This window comes from Homo sapiens, chromosome 5 (assembly GCF_000001405.40).
Source record: "Homo sapiens chromosome 5, GRCh38.p14 Primary Assembly".
NCBI classification, from domain to species: Eukaryota; Metazoa; Chordata; class Mammalia; order Primates; family Hominidae; genus Homo; species Homo sapiens.
Genome location: NC_000005.10, coordinates 120,608,619 through 120,621,159, shown reverse-complemented (window position 1 = coordinate 120,621,159; position 12,541 = coordinate 120,608,619). Strand labels below are relative to the sequence as shown.

At 35.4% G+C, this 12,541-nt stretch overlaps 1 protein-coding gene across 9 annotated transcripts in view, besides 1 other annotated feature; it reads right to left on the bottom strand.

Annotated features, from left to right (window-relative positions):
- The window catches only part of PRR16 (proline rich 16), a 330,317-nt gene that overhangs the window by 173,435 nt on the left and 144,341 nt on the right, over positions 1–12,541 (bottom strand). For 3 of the 9 annotated variants that reach the window (NM_001308088.1, XM_047417290.1, XM_047417291.1), the window contains 2 exon segments: positions 2,595–2,718; positions 3,968–4,065. The exons of 5 other annotated variants lie outside the window; for them this stretch is intronic. Coding sequence is in view for 1 of the 4 variants with exons in the window: in XM_011543452.3 (XP_011541754.1) it covers positions 3,968–3,979 (12 nt within the window). In the remaining 3 variants the exon portion in view is untranslated. 9 annotated transcript variants of the gene reach the window in all.
- Positions 4,494–5,088: an enhancer, noted in NCBI's record as "OCT4-NANOG hESC enhancer chr5:119951767-119952361 (GRCh37/hg19 assembly coordinates)". NCBI's record gives its function as "activates a minimal SCP1, AML or CMV promoter by ChIP-STARR-seq in primed H9 embryonic stem cells {active_cell/tissue: H9 hESC(primed)}" and the evidence as "EXISTENCE:reporter gene assay evidence [ECO:0000049][PMID:30033119]".

Sequence of the window (12,541 nt, the reverse complement as noted above, 5' to 3'; positions counted from 1 at the left end):
TATAAGGGCAGTCTAATTAAAAGATGAGGACTGAAAAGTTGCAAGTAGTGAAGATAGTGAAAAGAAGGACTCAGGATTTTGGAGGAACATTTGACAAAACTTTCTAAAGGAGAACACTACCCAGAGTTTTGGTCCAAGCAATTTGTTTGATGAGGGAGTGATTTACTGACATAGAGAAAACTAAAGGAGAAAGAGAATTATGGGCCTGGGTATTGATTCTGAAGTTCTGCTTTCTATGTGTTTATTTTAAGATGCTTATTAAACATCCAATGGAGACGATGGGGAGAAGCTAATGATACAAAGTTGGAATTCATTCATATATAGTTGGTATGTAAAGCTATGGGCTGGATGAGATCAGCAAAAAGAGCTGGGATGGGGAGCAAAGAGAGAAACAGGTGGAGGGGGAGTAAACTAGGGAGAGACAAGGCTTGCTCTGAGTATTGGGACCCTGTAACATTTAGCAGCTGAGGAAGCAAGGACCCAGCAAAACACACTAATGAGAGGTGGCCAGAGAGGTAGAAGAGGAAATGTAAATTTATCTGTTCCATACATAGAACCTTGACAGACAACATTTTAACAACAATAACAAAATGTAGTACTCTCTGGTATTTTCACATACATCATTGCTATCACAGCAAGTTCACTGACCTACATCACAGAACTACTTATTTTCTGATTAAGGCCAGGTTAAAGAATGCTTCTCAGGAATAATATCTATAGTTGTTTTGATTTGACAACAAAATCAAGCAACCTCACCTCATAAGCACATTTTCCTGCAGGTCATCAATCACTGTACCCATTTGTGGAGCACTGCAACATAATCATGAAGCTCGTCTGCCTGTTTCACCATTACAACTTCTGGCTTTGGTGTTACAATGCTCCATAATTCTTTGCTGTTATAATATTCAAGGTCACTCTTCGTGATAAATAAATTAAAGATTAATTTTATGCACTATGTTATTATGGAATTCCACAATCTTGCAAAAGTTCTGGTCTGCATTTTTCGTCTTCTTTCCATTTCACAGAAACACCAAACTTTACCATGACTTGCCAATTTATTGTGAATCTTTCTTTACAAATTCAGTTAACAAACAATACTTATTCCAGTTTTTGAGGCACATTAATTTTAGCTCCGCTCTAATAACACTATACATTCTTATTTCATAAAACTCAATTTATTAACTTTCATATTCTCTCTGACCTACCTCCAACTCAGGCAGAAAACAATTATTTTTACGTAAACATTGATTTACTCTTGTATTACATTGTTTTAGTCTTCTACTTGACTGTGAACATATCATGGGTAGAACTGTGTCTTATTAATCTTTATATTTCTTTTTTCTAGCACAGTGCATAGTGCAAAGTGCATGTTCAATAACTACTGAGTAAAATAATTAATTGATTAGATTAGTTTAGACTGTTAATTTTTGGTTTGACAAAAATGATAAAGATATCAAACAACTGCTTTACTATATTTTAATATAGATTCTTAGGAGAAATTTTTGCATTCCTGAGATTCATCAGTTCCTCATGTTTTCTTACTTCCTCTTTATTTGGGTATGTAATTTTCATTAGTATGCTAGTATAGCAACAAACCATTTTGAGTGACAACTGCTAGTCGATTAACCTATGATGTTTTCAATTCTCCAGAACTAGCTCTGTGATTGAAATCAATAGTAACATTAAATGGTTGATTCTCTCTTTTGCCAATGCAACAAATACTTCTTGTATTTTAACAAAATGTATAGCCCCTATAATAAATATGGAAAGACATTGCACATTCCATACTATTATTTTTCCTAGTCAACTTTATAATTACTTCAACAGTCAATTCATCATTTTTATTCAACTGAACTCAGCTCAAACAGTTAAATATTTAGATCTGATTCTTTTTTCAAGAAAAATTAGAACTATGTTTGAGAGATGTGTCTGTCTGATAAGTGCAGCGGCAATCTAAAGGGCACAAAATACTTGACTTTAGGAAATTATGTGTGGGGCATCACGTAATATGTACAGAGGATTGCTTCTGAATACATTGCCAATGTGGCAGACACTTTTCATCCCCAAACAACATGAGTTATCAATCTATGCCCATGTAATTTCTTCTAGATAAAGAAGGATACTGTCTGTTTATAGACCATCAAGACTTTATTCCAGTGGGAAAAGCTGGGCCTACAGCACTTTTTGTTCTGACTTTTTGCATAAAAGTCATGTCAAACAGAATACATGGACACTATGTCTTGAATTTTCTGGTCCTTTAGGTCAGGTGAACGTCTTATGAATTCCATTGAATAAGGTCTCAGGAATTCAAGTTGAATAAGTGACTTGGCAAACTGCTAATTGGGAAGTTAATATCAGAGTTGTATAGCTTCGAGGTGAATTCACATAATTGATTAAAAAAAAAAGGAAAGGAAACAAAAAAAATAAGAATCCCAAGTATTTATCCATTGGTCTCTCTTAGCAATAACAGACACAGGCAGACTTTTAAATTTACTTTTTCCTCTTTATCCTGAGATAATCAACAATTTATTTTCTTTTCAGTATACCTTTTTTGTCCATTTTATGTGATTTGCTATAACTTCTTTTTTACTTACCTCTGAAGTAGAATTTGATTGAGAAGATAAATATAGCTAAATTCCAAATACCATTCCCTCTTGTTTTACAACAATTAGAACACATTAAAATGAAGACTTGATTCATGACACAGCACCTAACAAACTGTTAAAAAACAGTATAATTACTATAATCTCAAAACTAAAAATAGTTTACTTATTACATTCTTAAAATCACTATATGCTAATATAGAAATTTTATTTAATGGCACTCAACAACAAAATCAACACTACTCATGAGAATTCATTCAAATAGAGTGTTGTCAAATGCATGACAAAAGAATGCAACTGATTAAAGAAAAACAGTAATTGTAAACATGTTAATATATCTCTAATATTTGACATTATCCAGACATCTTTTATATTTGATTTTAGATATAACAGATTTATTCTTAAAATCCAATAGTTGACTAATCATGGCATCTTTCAGGTTTTATCTACAAGTGGAAAAATTTGGTATCCATATTTAACACAAAAAATAACTAGAGTCTTACATAGATTAAGGTGTTGAAATGATTGTCCCAGAAGCACCAGAGCATAATGAGCAATAAACCCACGTTCTTTTATATGCAGAAAAATACTGAGACCAAAGAAACCTGTACTGACAGCCTTTGATGATGGGAAAATGGAAAATTGCAATAAAAAAAATTATTGACCTTGACTATGCATGTTTTCACTTTGTTAGGAATTCACAGCTGTTAAAGGTAATGATCGTTCTTATGGTCACATATGGCATAACCAAGATTATGTTATGAATATGCTTCTGATGTCATGAATGAATTCTGTGCACCATAAACCAATCTTTAAAAAAAGACTATTGTCTTAATATGTGAATTTAAATTATCATATCTTTTATAAAATTTTTGTTTTTTAATGACTAAAATTAATTTCCTACAATTGACATATATAAAGATAACTTATCAAAATGTAAACTGATTTTGTTAATAAAAAGTGTGAATATTCTAACATGACCTCATTAATTGTGATACCTTGGACGTTAAATCTTGCGGTTTTGAACAAACAACAAATATTTCTTAAAATATTTTTGGAGCCTTAAAAATAAAACATTGCTGAAATTTATGATATTATTATACTTATTTCCTTATGTGGAATTTAAACATAAAACACAGACTGAAGATATGACCATTTATATGATGATAAATAGTGTTGTGAGTGTTAATCATGTTATTCATGGTCATCACTTGATAACTTTAATATTCAAAGAGACCTGATTGTTAATTGCAACTCTTACATATATTTTGAATTACAAATGATATATTGGTTTGCATGTTTCTTAGAAATGTTGGTATGTGCTGTCCAAATTCCTGCAAACATCATGTTAAGGTGGGGCTGACCTTCTTGGGCATTTCCTGATGTCCTGTTGTCACTGTATGCCTGCAGCACTGTTTCCCTGTTTCATCATGTGGGGAGGTGGGAGTAGGTAATGGAGCTTCTGTTAAAAAAATTAGAAAACTTTAAAAAATAGTTCATTTACTTTAGACTTTCCAAAAAACACTGGACTGGACATGGTGCAGGAGGTTATGAATGGATGGGGAGGCATTCGTCATGAAGGAATAGGATATACTGATGGAAATTACACATGGATGGAAGAGAAGAGTGAACACAGAACATGTCTAGGAAGGAAGTGCATGTGAAAGACCACGTATTGTGAGTGAAAACATAAGAAGTATGAGTATTGATCAGTCAATCAATCAAGTCTTCAAGAACATTTACTGAGTACATATTCTTTCTGAAAACAGTATACCATAGCAAATCACTGGATGCTTTGTAGGTTACCACTGACTCATCATTCAATATTGTTTTTGTCTTGCAGCCCAATGAGTTATTAATATAGACATATTAGGACCAGCTCTAAGGACAGTCATCAGGAAGAGACAGTCAAGCATATCACAGAAACGGATATAAACACGCAACTAATGTGGTAGTATAGAGTAGCCTCTGGAAATGAAGGCTATCCTCCAATATTTAAAGGGATACCTTGCATCAGGAAACCTAAGCTTGCTGAACAAAATGTGAATGGGCTGAGCCAACCTCAGGGAAACATACTCTGGGGTCATGGGAACTAAAGACTACACTAAATCTACATGACAAAGGAGGTATTAAAGCAGAGGCTAAGTGATCTCTTGATGTTGATACTATAAGGATTCTAAGTTCCAGAGGGCAGTTGGAGCTTGGCCTGTGAGGCTGCACTCAATTCAGAAATGCAAGATTGTTGCCGCCGGAATGTGTGGCCCCTCATTCCCACCTTACACTTTGGTAACATGCTCCCAAAACACTACAGTTTCTGCATTTGAGACTTGTTCAAACGAGGTATGAATAAAAGAGTAAGAACTTAGATCATCCAGCTTGCTCAATTACTGACTCATTCTTTGTTAGCTACTTGTAGAGCACTACGCTGTGTCAGTACTAGGAATGCAGAAATGAGTGAAAAAGTACTCTTCCTCAAGGAGCTCAAAAGAGTCAGTTTGGGGTGGGGGTTGAGAAAGGGCACGTTATTCTCAGCTTCTTGCTGCTTCTTATGTTATTGACTTTCTTCATCAACAATAACTTGAATATTTAGTAAAGAAAAGCAAAATTATACATTTGAATAAGCTCAAGGAGTTTAACTTCATCATTCATCCACACATGAATATAGTCAATAAACTCTCACTGGGAACTGAGTATGTGCTAGGAACCCTCCTGGTTACTGGGAACGTGACAATGAATAAAACGCCCAGAATTCTCACCTACATATTAATTATATACACATGGATGACAGAAAACACTTCTGTTAAATTATAACTAAATTATAACATTTGACTGCAAAATACTAATTAAAAATAATAATCTAATGAATAGAGTATGCAGGCATTATTTAATTATCATACAGTATTAATTTTATGGTTAAAACATTTAACAAGACCAACAATCAAAAACAAAAACTGTCAAATTTTCTAATCATATTTCACTTTAAATCTACAACGAATACTCCTGACATTATTAAAAAAATTAGACATTCATAAAATTATAATGCTGAAGCAGAAAAGCAAAAAATGGCAAACACTATTTTCTCTATTTTAATACTTCAGAAGGAAATTACATATCTCTGTATCCACCTCCACTCTCCCAAAAAAAAAATTTTATCAAAAAAAAAAAAAAAAAAGAAAAGAAAGAAAAAGAAATCCATAGAAAGTGGCCTAAGGGCCTATAGAAGAGAATATAGATTTTCCTCTTGAACTGTGTTCTTCATATCGAGACACTAAAGAATGGTGGTAGAAGTGTGGTTTCTATAATCAGACTCATTAGCTATGTAATCCCAGGCAAGGTACTTGGGGGCTATTTCTCTGTACTTCTGTTTCCTTATCTTTGAAAAGAGGGCTAAAAAATGTACTAGCTTCATAGGGTTAATGTGAGAGTTAACTAAGTTAATATATGGAAAGAATTTCACACTTTTAAAAGCACATAAGTGCTTACAAATGTTTGCTATTTTTTTTTCCGTTATACAGTCAACAGAATAGGGAAGTAACAATGCATGTCAGAATCTTTACTGACAGAGGTTCTCAGAGCACTTGAATGAAGAATTCTGAACCAAGAACTTGGGCTTTGTAATTAATCTTCAGTGTCAGATATTCTCCGGGCAATACAGCAGCAGAGCAAGCTGCTATAGCTGGTGCCTATATGTTCCTCCTCATGGCAAAGTGAAAGAGCCAAATTCTGCATGTACTGCCAGAATCCCCCAGCTTCATAATTGCCACTACTTTTTCCATTTTGACAGTATAGATTCTGTTCTGCTGGTTGGCTGAGATTGTCTGGCTATGCACAGTGGAAAAACTATTACCAAATCATTCCAGCCATAACTTGTGAACTTATTCAGCAATAGAACATTCCTGCCAACTACAAGCTGAACAATTCCTTCTTTTGTTCCTCTCATGTATATTAGACACAGTCTCAGACAAGGCTAATCAAACCAAAGTGGAAAAGGCTTGAAAATTATCTGGTGAATGTTTGAAGTAAATCATTAAAGTGTTTTCAATTATCCAAAGTATGATGATCCATACTACAAGGAAAATGTCTGAAATTTAGGCTTGGCATTGGCCATTGGAAAATAACAGAAAATGATTTGAATTTGTTGGAGGGGAGTGTACCAAACCTGAATTCGTGACAAATGTGCATTTACATTTTTGGCCTGTGCAGAATTAATCAACATCCCAAATCTGTTTTAAAAACTCCACCGTAAGCATTTGCTTATTCTTCCAATAAGAAGATACAAAAAAGCCCACAGTATGAGAACATAACTTGAGTAGGTTTTTGAGGAATCATGATAGGTTTTACACTCAACTTGCCACATTTCCTTGTTTCCTTTATGCTCAATGACATATATTTTTAAAACATGTCTCACGTGCAGGGTCACAGTTTGATTACAGAAGAAAAACATGTATCTGTATTAAGCCATCAGATTTATCTGGAGATCAAACAAACACCCATAAACTACAAGCTGCAAATACTTACCAATTGAATCTGTGTGTGTGAAAATGCTTTACTAAGGAAAGCTCTGTTCAAATGCTAATCATTATCCAACTGACTACATTAAAAGTTCCTTCAGAGAATTAATAACCTCTTACTCATCTTTATAACACCATCCTCTGAGAATCAAAGGAAATTTGTTTATTGCCTAAACACAACTAAAGCTCAGCTCTTAGGCTAAACAGCAGAGGGCTATTGGATTCTCAGTCCAGATTTCTTAAAGGAGCCATATATGCCTGGATATAAAAAATTGAAATGCAAGGTTCAGTCTCATTATTAGTGGCCATCATCTAAACGATGTGTTAGTGCCTTAAAGGAAAAGTATTTTAAAAGTACTAGAATATAAGTATGCTGTTGAAATTGCATAGAAGACCCAAGAAAAGCCTACAATACAAATGCTTAAAACTGGATTTAATTATATAATAGATCATATATGTAAACCAATCATATGAATTAAATAAAATACTAAAAATTTTTATTATGTTCTATTTTTTCCCAAATGGAAGCCTACATATAAGTTATTTGATAATGTCTTTGTGGGGTTCAAGACATGAATCTTAGTAATATGCTTAAGTAATTATTGAAAAATACAGAGCTTGACTTTCTATAATAATACATAATAGGATTTTAAAAAATGTAAACAGAAAAAAAATAAATTATGAAGCTTTAAATTTTATTTCCACTGAAGTTACCAAAAAAGCAATGATAAAATATGATATAAAATCTAGTATTTCTTTTTTATAAAATACCAATTCTGGTTTGAATTATGTATTCTATGAATATTCAGAAAATCAGCAGTTAAATAACAAACACAACCCTTGTTTTAAAATTCACGCTTAATTGCTAGGTTTCCTTCATTTTACTTGACATTATAGCCATGTTCCATGTGTAAACTCATGGGCAAATATTTGCATTATAAGTTTTTTCAATTTCTGCTGAACTGCCAACTGTATGCTTTGCTCATAATCTTTAAAACATATACCTCATGCTTATTTGTCTTTGCCCAATAAGTGTTTGAGTTACAGAAAATAGCACAGAGTGACTTCTTTATTAATCCATCACATTAGCAAAATAAAAATGTGAGTTTTCAGGATTAAAATATGATCATCCCATTTGAGTGCCCAGTCTCAAGGGAATACATGCATTAATACTCAAATTAAGAATTTTATGATTTGTGCAAGTAATATTATATACATATTTCACTAAATAATGCAATAAAAAGAATTACATTTATTAGCATTTTAGAATACAAACTAGTATATCTGCAAAAAGAATCAAATCAAATAATATGTATGTGTATTAGTCTGTTTTCATGCTGCCGGTAAAGACATACCTGAGACTGGAAAGAAAAAGAGGTTTAATTGGACTTATAGTTCTACATGGCTGGGGAGGCCTCAGAATCATGGAAGGACCCAAAAGACACTTCTTACATGGTGGTGGCAAGAGAAAATGAGGAAGAAGCAAAAGTAGAAGCGCCTGATAAACCCTTCAGATATCGTAATACTTATTCACCGTCACGAGAATAGCATGGGAAAGACTGGCCCCCATGATTCAATTACCTTCCCCTGTCCCTCCCACACCATGGGGGAATTCTGGGAGATACAATTCAAGTTGAGATTTGGTGGGCAGAACACAGCTAAACCATATCATTCCACCCCTGGCCCCTCCAAATCTCATGTCCTCACATTTCAAAACCAATCATGCCTTCCCAACAGTCCACCAAAGTCTTAACTCATTTCAGCATTAACCCAAAAGTCCACAGTTCCAAGTTTCACCTGAGACAAGGCAATTCTCTTCTACCTATGAGCCTGTAAAATCAAAAGCAAGCTAGAAACAATGTTTCTTCCTAGAAACAGTGGAGGTACAGGTATTGGGTAAATACAGCCATTCTAAATGGGAGAGATTGGCCAAAACAAAGGGGTTACAGGGCTGTGCAAGTTTGAAATCCAGCGGAGCAAATTTTAAAGCCCCAAAATGATCTCCTTTGACTCCAGATCTCACATCAAGGTCACGCTGATGCAAGAGGTGGGTTCCCATGGTCTTGGGCAGCTCCGCCCCCATGGCTGTGCAGGGTACAGCCTCCCTCTTGGCTGCTCTCACCAGCTGGTATGGAGTGTCTGTGGCTTTTCCAGGTGCACAGTGCAAGCTGTCGGTAGAGCTACCATTCTGGGGTCTGGAGAATGGTGGCCCTCTTCTCACAGCTCCACTAGGCATTGCCCCAGTAGGGACTCTGTGTGGGGGGCTCCAACTCCACATTTTCCTTCTGCACTGCCCTAGCAGAGGTTCTCCATGTGGGCCCCACCCCTGCAGCAAACTTTTGCCTGGGCATCCAGACATTCCCGTACATCTTCTGAAATCTAGGCAGAGGTTCCTAGACCCCAATTCTTGACTTCTGTGTACTTGCAGGCTCAACACCACATGGAAGCTGCCAAGGCTTGGGGTTTCCACCCTCTGAAGCCACAGTTTGAGCTTTACATTGGCCCCTTTCAACCAAGGCTGGCACGGCTGGTACACAGGGCACCAAGTCCCTAGGCTGCACACAGCATGGGGACCCAGGGCCCAGCCTACAAAACCACTTTTTCCATCTGGGCCTCTGGGCCTGTGATGGCAGGGGCTGCTGTGAAGGTCTCTGACATAGCCTGGAGACGTTTTCCCCATGGTCTTGGGGATTAACATTAGGCTCCTTGTTACGTATGCAGATTTCTGCAGCTGGCTTGAATTTCTGCCCAGAAAATGTGATTTTCTTTTCCATCACATAGTCAGGCTGCAAACTGTCCAAACTTTAACGCTCTGCTTCCCTTATAAAACTGAATGCTTTTAACAGCACCCAAGTCACCACTTGCACACTTTGCTTCTTAGAAATTTCTTCTGCCAGATACCCTAAATCATCTCTCTCAAGGTCAAAGTTCCACAAATCTCTAGGGCAGGGGCAAAACACCACCAGTCTTTTTGCTAACACGTAACAAGAGCCACCTTTATTCCAGTTCTCAGCAAATTTCTCATCTCCATCTGAGACCACCTCAGCCTGAATTTTGTTGTCCATATCGCTATCAGCATTTTGGGCAAAGTCATTCAACAAGTCTCTAGGAAGTTCCAAACTTTCCCACATTTTCCTGTCTTCTTCTGAGTCCTCCAAACTGTTCCAACCTCTCTGCCTGTTACCTAGTTCCAAAGTCACTTCCACAATTTCAGGTATCTTTTCAGTAATACCCCACTCTATTGGTACCAATTTACTGTGTTAGTCTGTTTTTATGCTACTGATAAAGACATAGCCAACACTGGGAAGAAAAAAAGGTATAATTGGACTTATAGTTCCACATATCTGGGGAGGCCTCAGAATCATGGTGGGAGGTGAAGGGCACTTCTTACATGGCAGTGGCAAGAGAAAATGAGGAATAAGCAAAAGCAGAAACCCCTGATAAACCTATTAGATCTCGTGATCTCTTATTCACTATCGTGAGAGTAGCATGGGAAAGACTGGCCCCCGTGATTCAATTACCTCCCCTGGGTCCCTCCCACAACACGGGAAAATCCTGAGACATGTAACTCAAGTTGAGATATGGGTGGGGACATAGCCAAACCATATCAGTATGTATTGAAACTAATTTTAGCTTTAAGTTTTATTTATTTTAAATAAATATTTATTATTTAATAAATACACTTTATTAAATTCATATAATTTAATAAATTATATTAATTTAAGTATAATTTAAATTAATATTGCCTGAAAACTAAAAACCCATGTTGTGACATTAGGCATTCAGAGTCTAAATAAAGAAAGAGTACAGTATTGATAGAGAATATTTTCAGGCAGTATTTAATTTTGGACCAGTTATTTCTGTAGAGCAAGAGAATTTATTCAACTGGCACTAGCAAACAGATGAAGAGCAATGGAGGATACTTCCCCCCACCGAAAAGGAAATGAAATGCTTTTGCACCTGCCTCTTCAGGATAACGGTATAGGTGCTAAATGGGCCCGTGAAGGGTGCCACACAAAACTGGGATTAGACTGTGGCAGGACTGCCTGGAGATAAACGTCCTTATTTATGAAATGTAGGCAGAGCAGGAAGATAAGCCTCAAAACCAAAGAGACTAGCACTTCAGGAGGTGCCTGAGAATTTGGAAAGCTAAGTGCGGTGCAAAAAGTAATTCTGGGACCATGGGAACAGAACTGACATTGTGGCTGCTTTCCTTGAAGTTTAGACTATTATTATTCCAGAAACAGTCCAGAGAAATGGGAAAGAAAATGGAGTAACAATTTCCAGACAGTAAAAATGACATGTTTATTTTTCTTTTCTGTCTTTTCATTGCATGAGTAATGTAGGTTATATGCAAGTATCACTCACACATATCAAATTCTCAAAATAACATGTTTTAAAAATGTGTAAGTGTTTCAGATTTCACCTAAAGAAGAAAATAATTCAATAAGATAGCCATTATTTTACTTTAATATTACTGAGAAACTTTTCATTGTCGAAAATCTTAGCTAAATGGCTCTTCATCTTGAGATCATTTCTGTTTCTATAATAATTTGGCAATGATCTCAAAACAATTTGAAAAGAAAAGCTAAGTAAACAACTCAATAAAGAATATTCCTTTTTTAAAAATTTTTTTTTTAGAAAGTAGGATAGAGCTAACCAGGGGCTCTAGGGAGAGAGAAGTGGGGAGTCCTTATTTATTGATTATGGAGTTTTTGTCTGGGGTGATAAAAATTGTTTGGAAATAGATACTGATGATGGTTGCACAGCATTGTAAATGTAAATGATGCCACTGAATGGTACATTTAAAAATGAATAAAATGTCAAATTTTACTTATATATATCTAACCATAATTTTTAAAAATTAATAATGCAATATACCAAAAACAATTGAATTGTACAAATAAGTGAACTGCAGGGTATGTGGGAGTATATCTGAATAAAGTTGTTGAAAAAAAAAGAACATCTCTTCTTATGAAATAAAAGAAAATGTTTTTAGAAGATGTGGTCATTTTAGGATGAATAATCAGCTCTCTTTTGAATACGAAGAGTTTCAAGGATTAATTTTCTTAACAGAATACCAAGACCATCAGGAGAAACCCTCTTTGGGACACCTTTCTGATTCTGAAAGAAGTATAAAGGAAATGAAGACCGAAGTATAAAGGAAATGAAGACCTCAGTTTATATTCCAGAAATCCACCAGAAATAGGTTAATCCCAGCTTATTTTCGAAGGTCAAAATACAAATAGAACCTGGATCATGGCAGGAATTTAAAAAAGCAATGAGAGATGAAACACCGTCTAGGGGGTTAACCAGATCTAATGATTGCTGCAATACACTTTTTAAAAGAAAAATAATTCTATAGTTGAAAATAAGTTAGAAAAAAATCTAGCCTAATAGAAAAATTCCTGTTATGAATAGATTTAA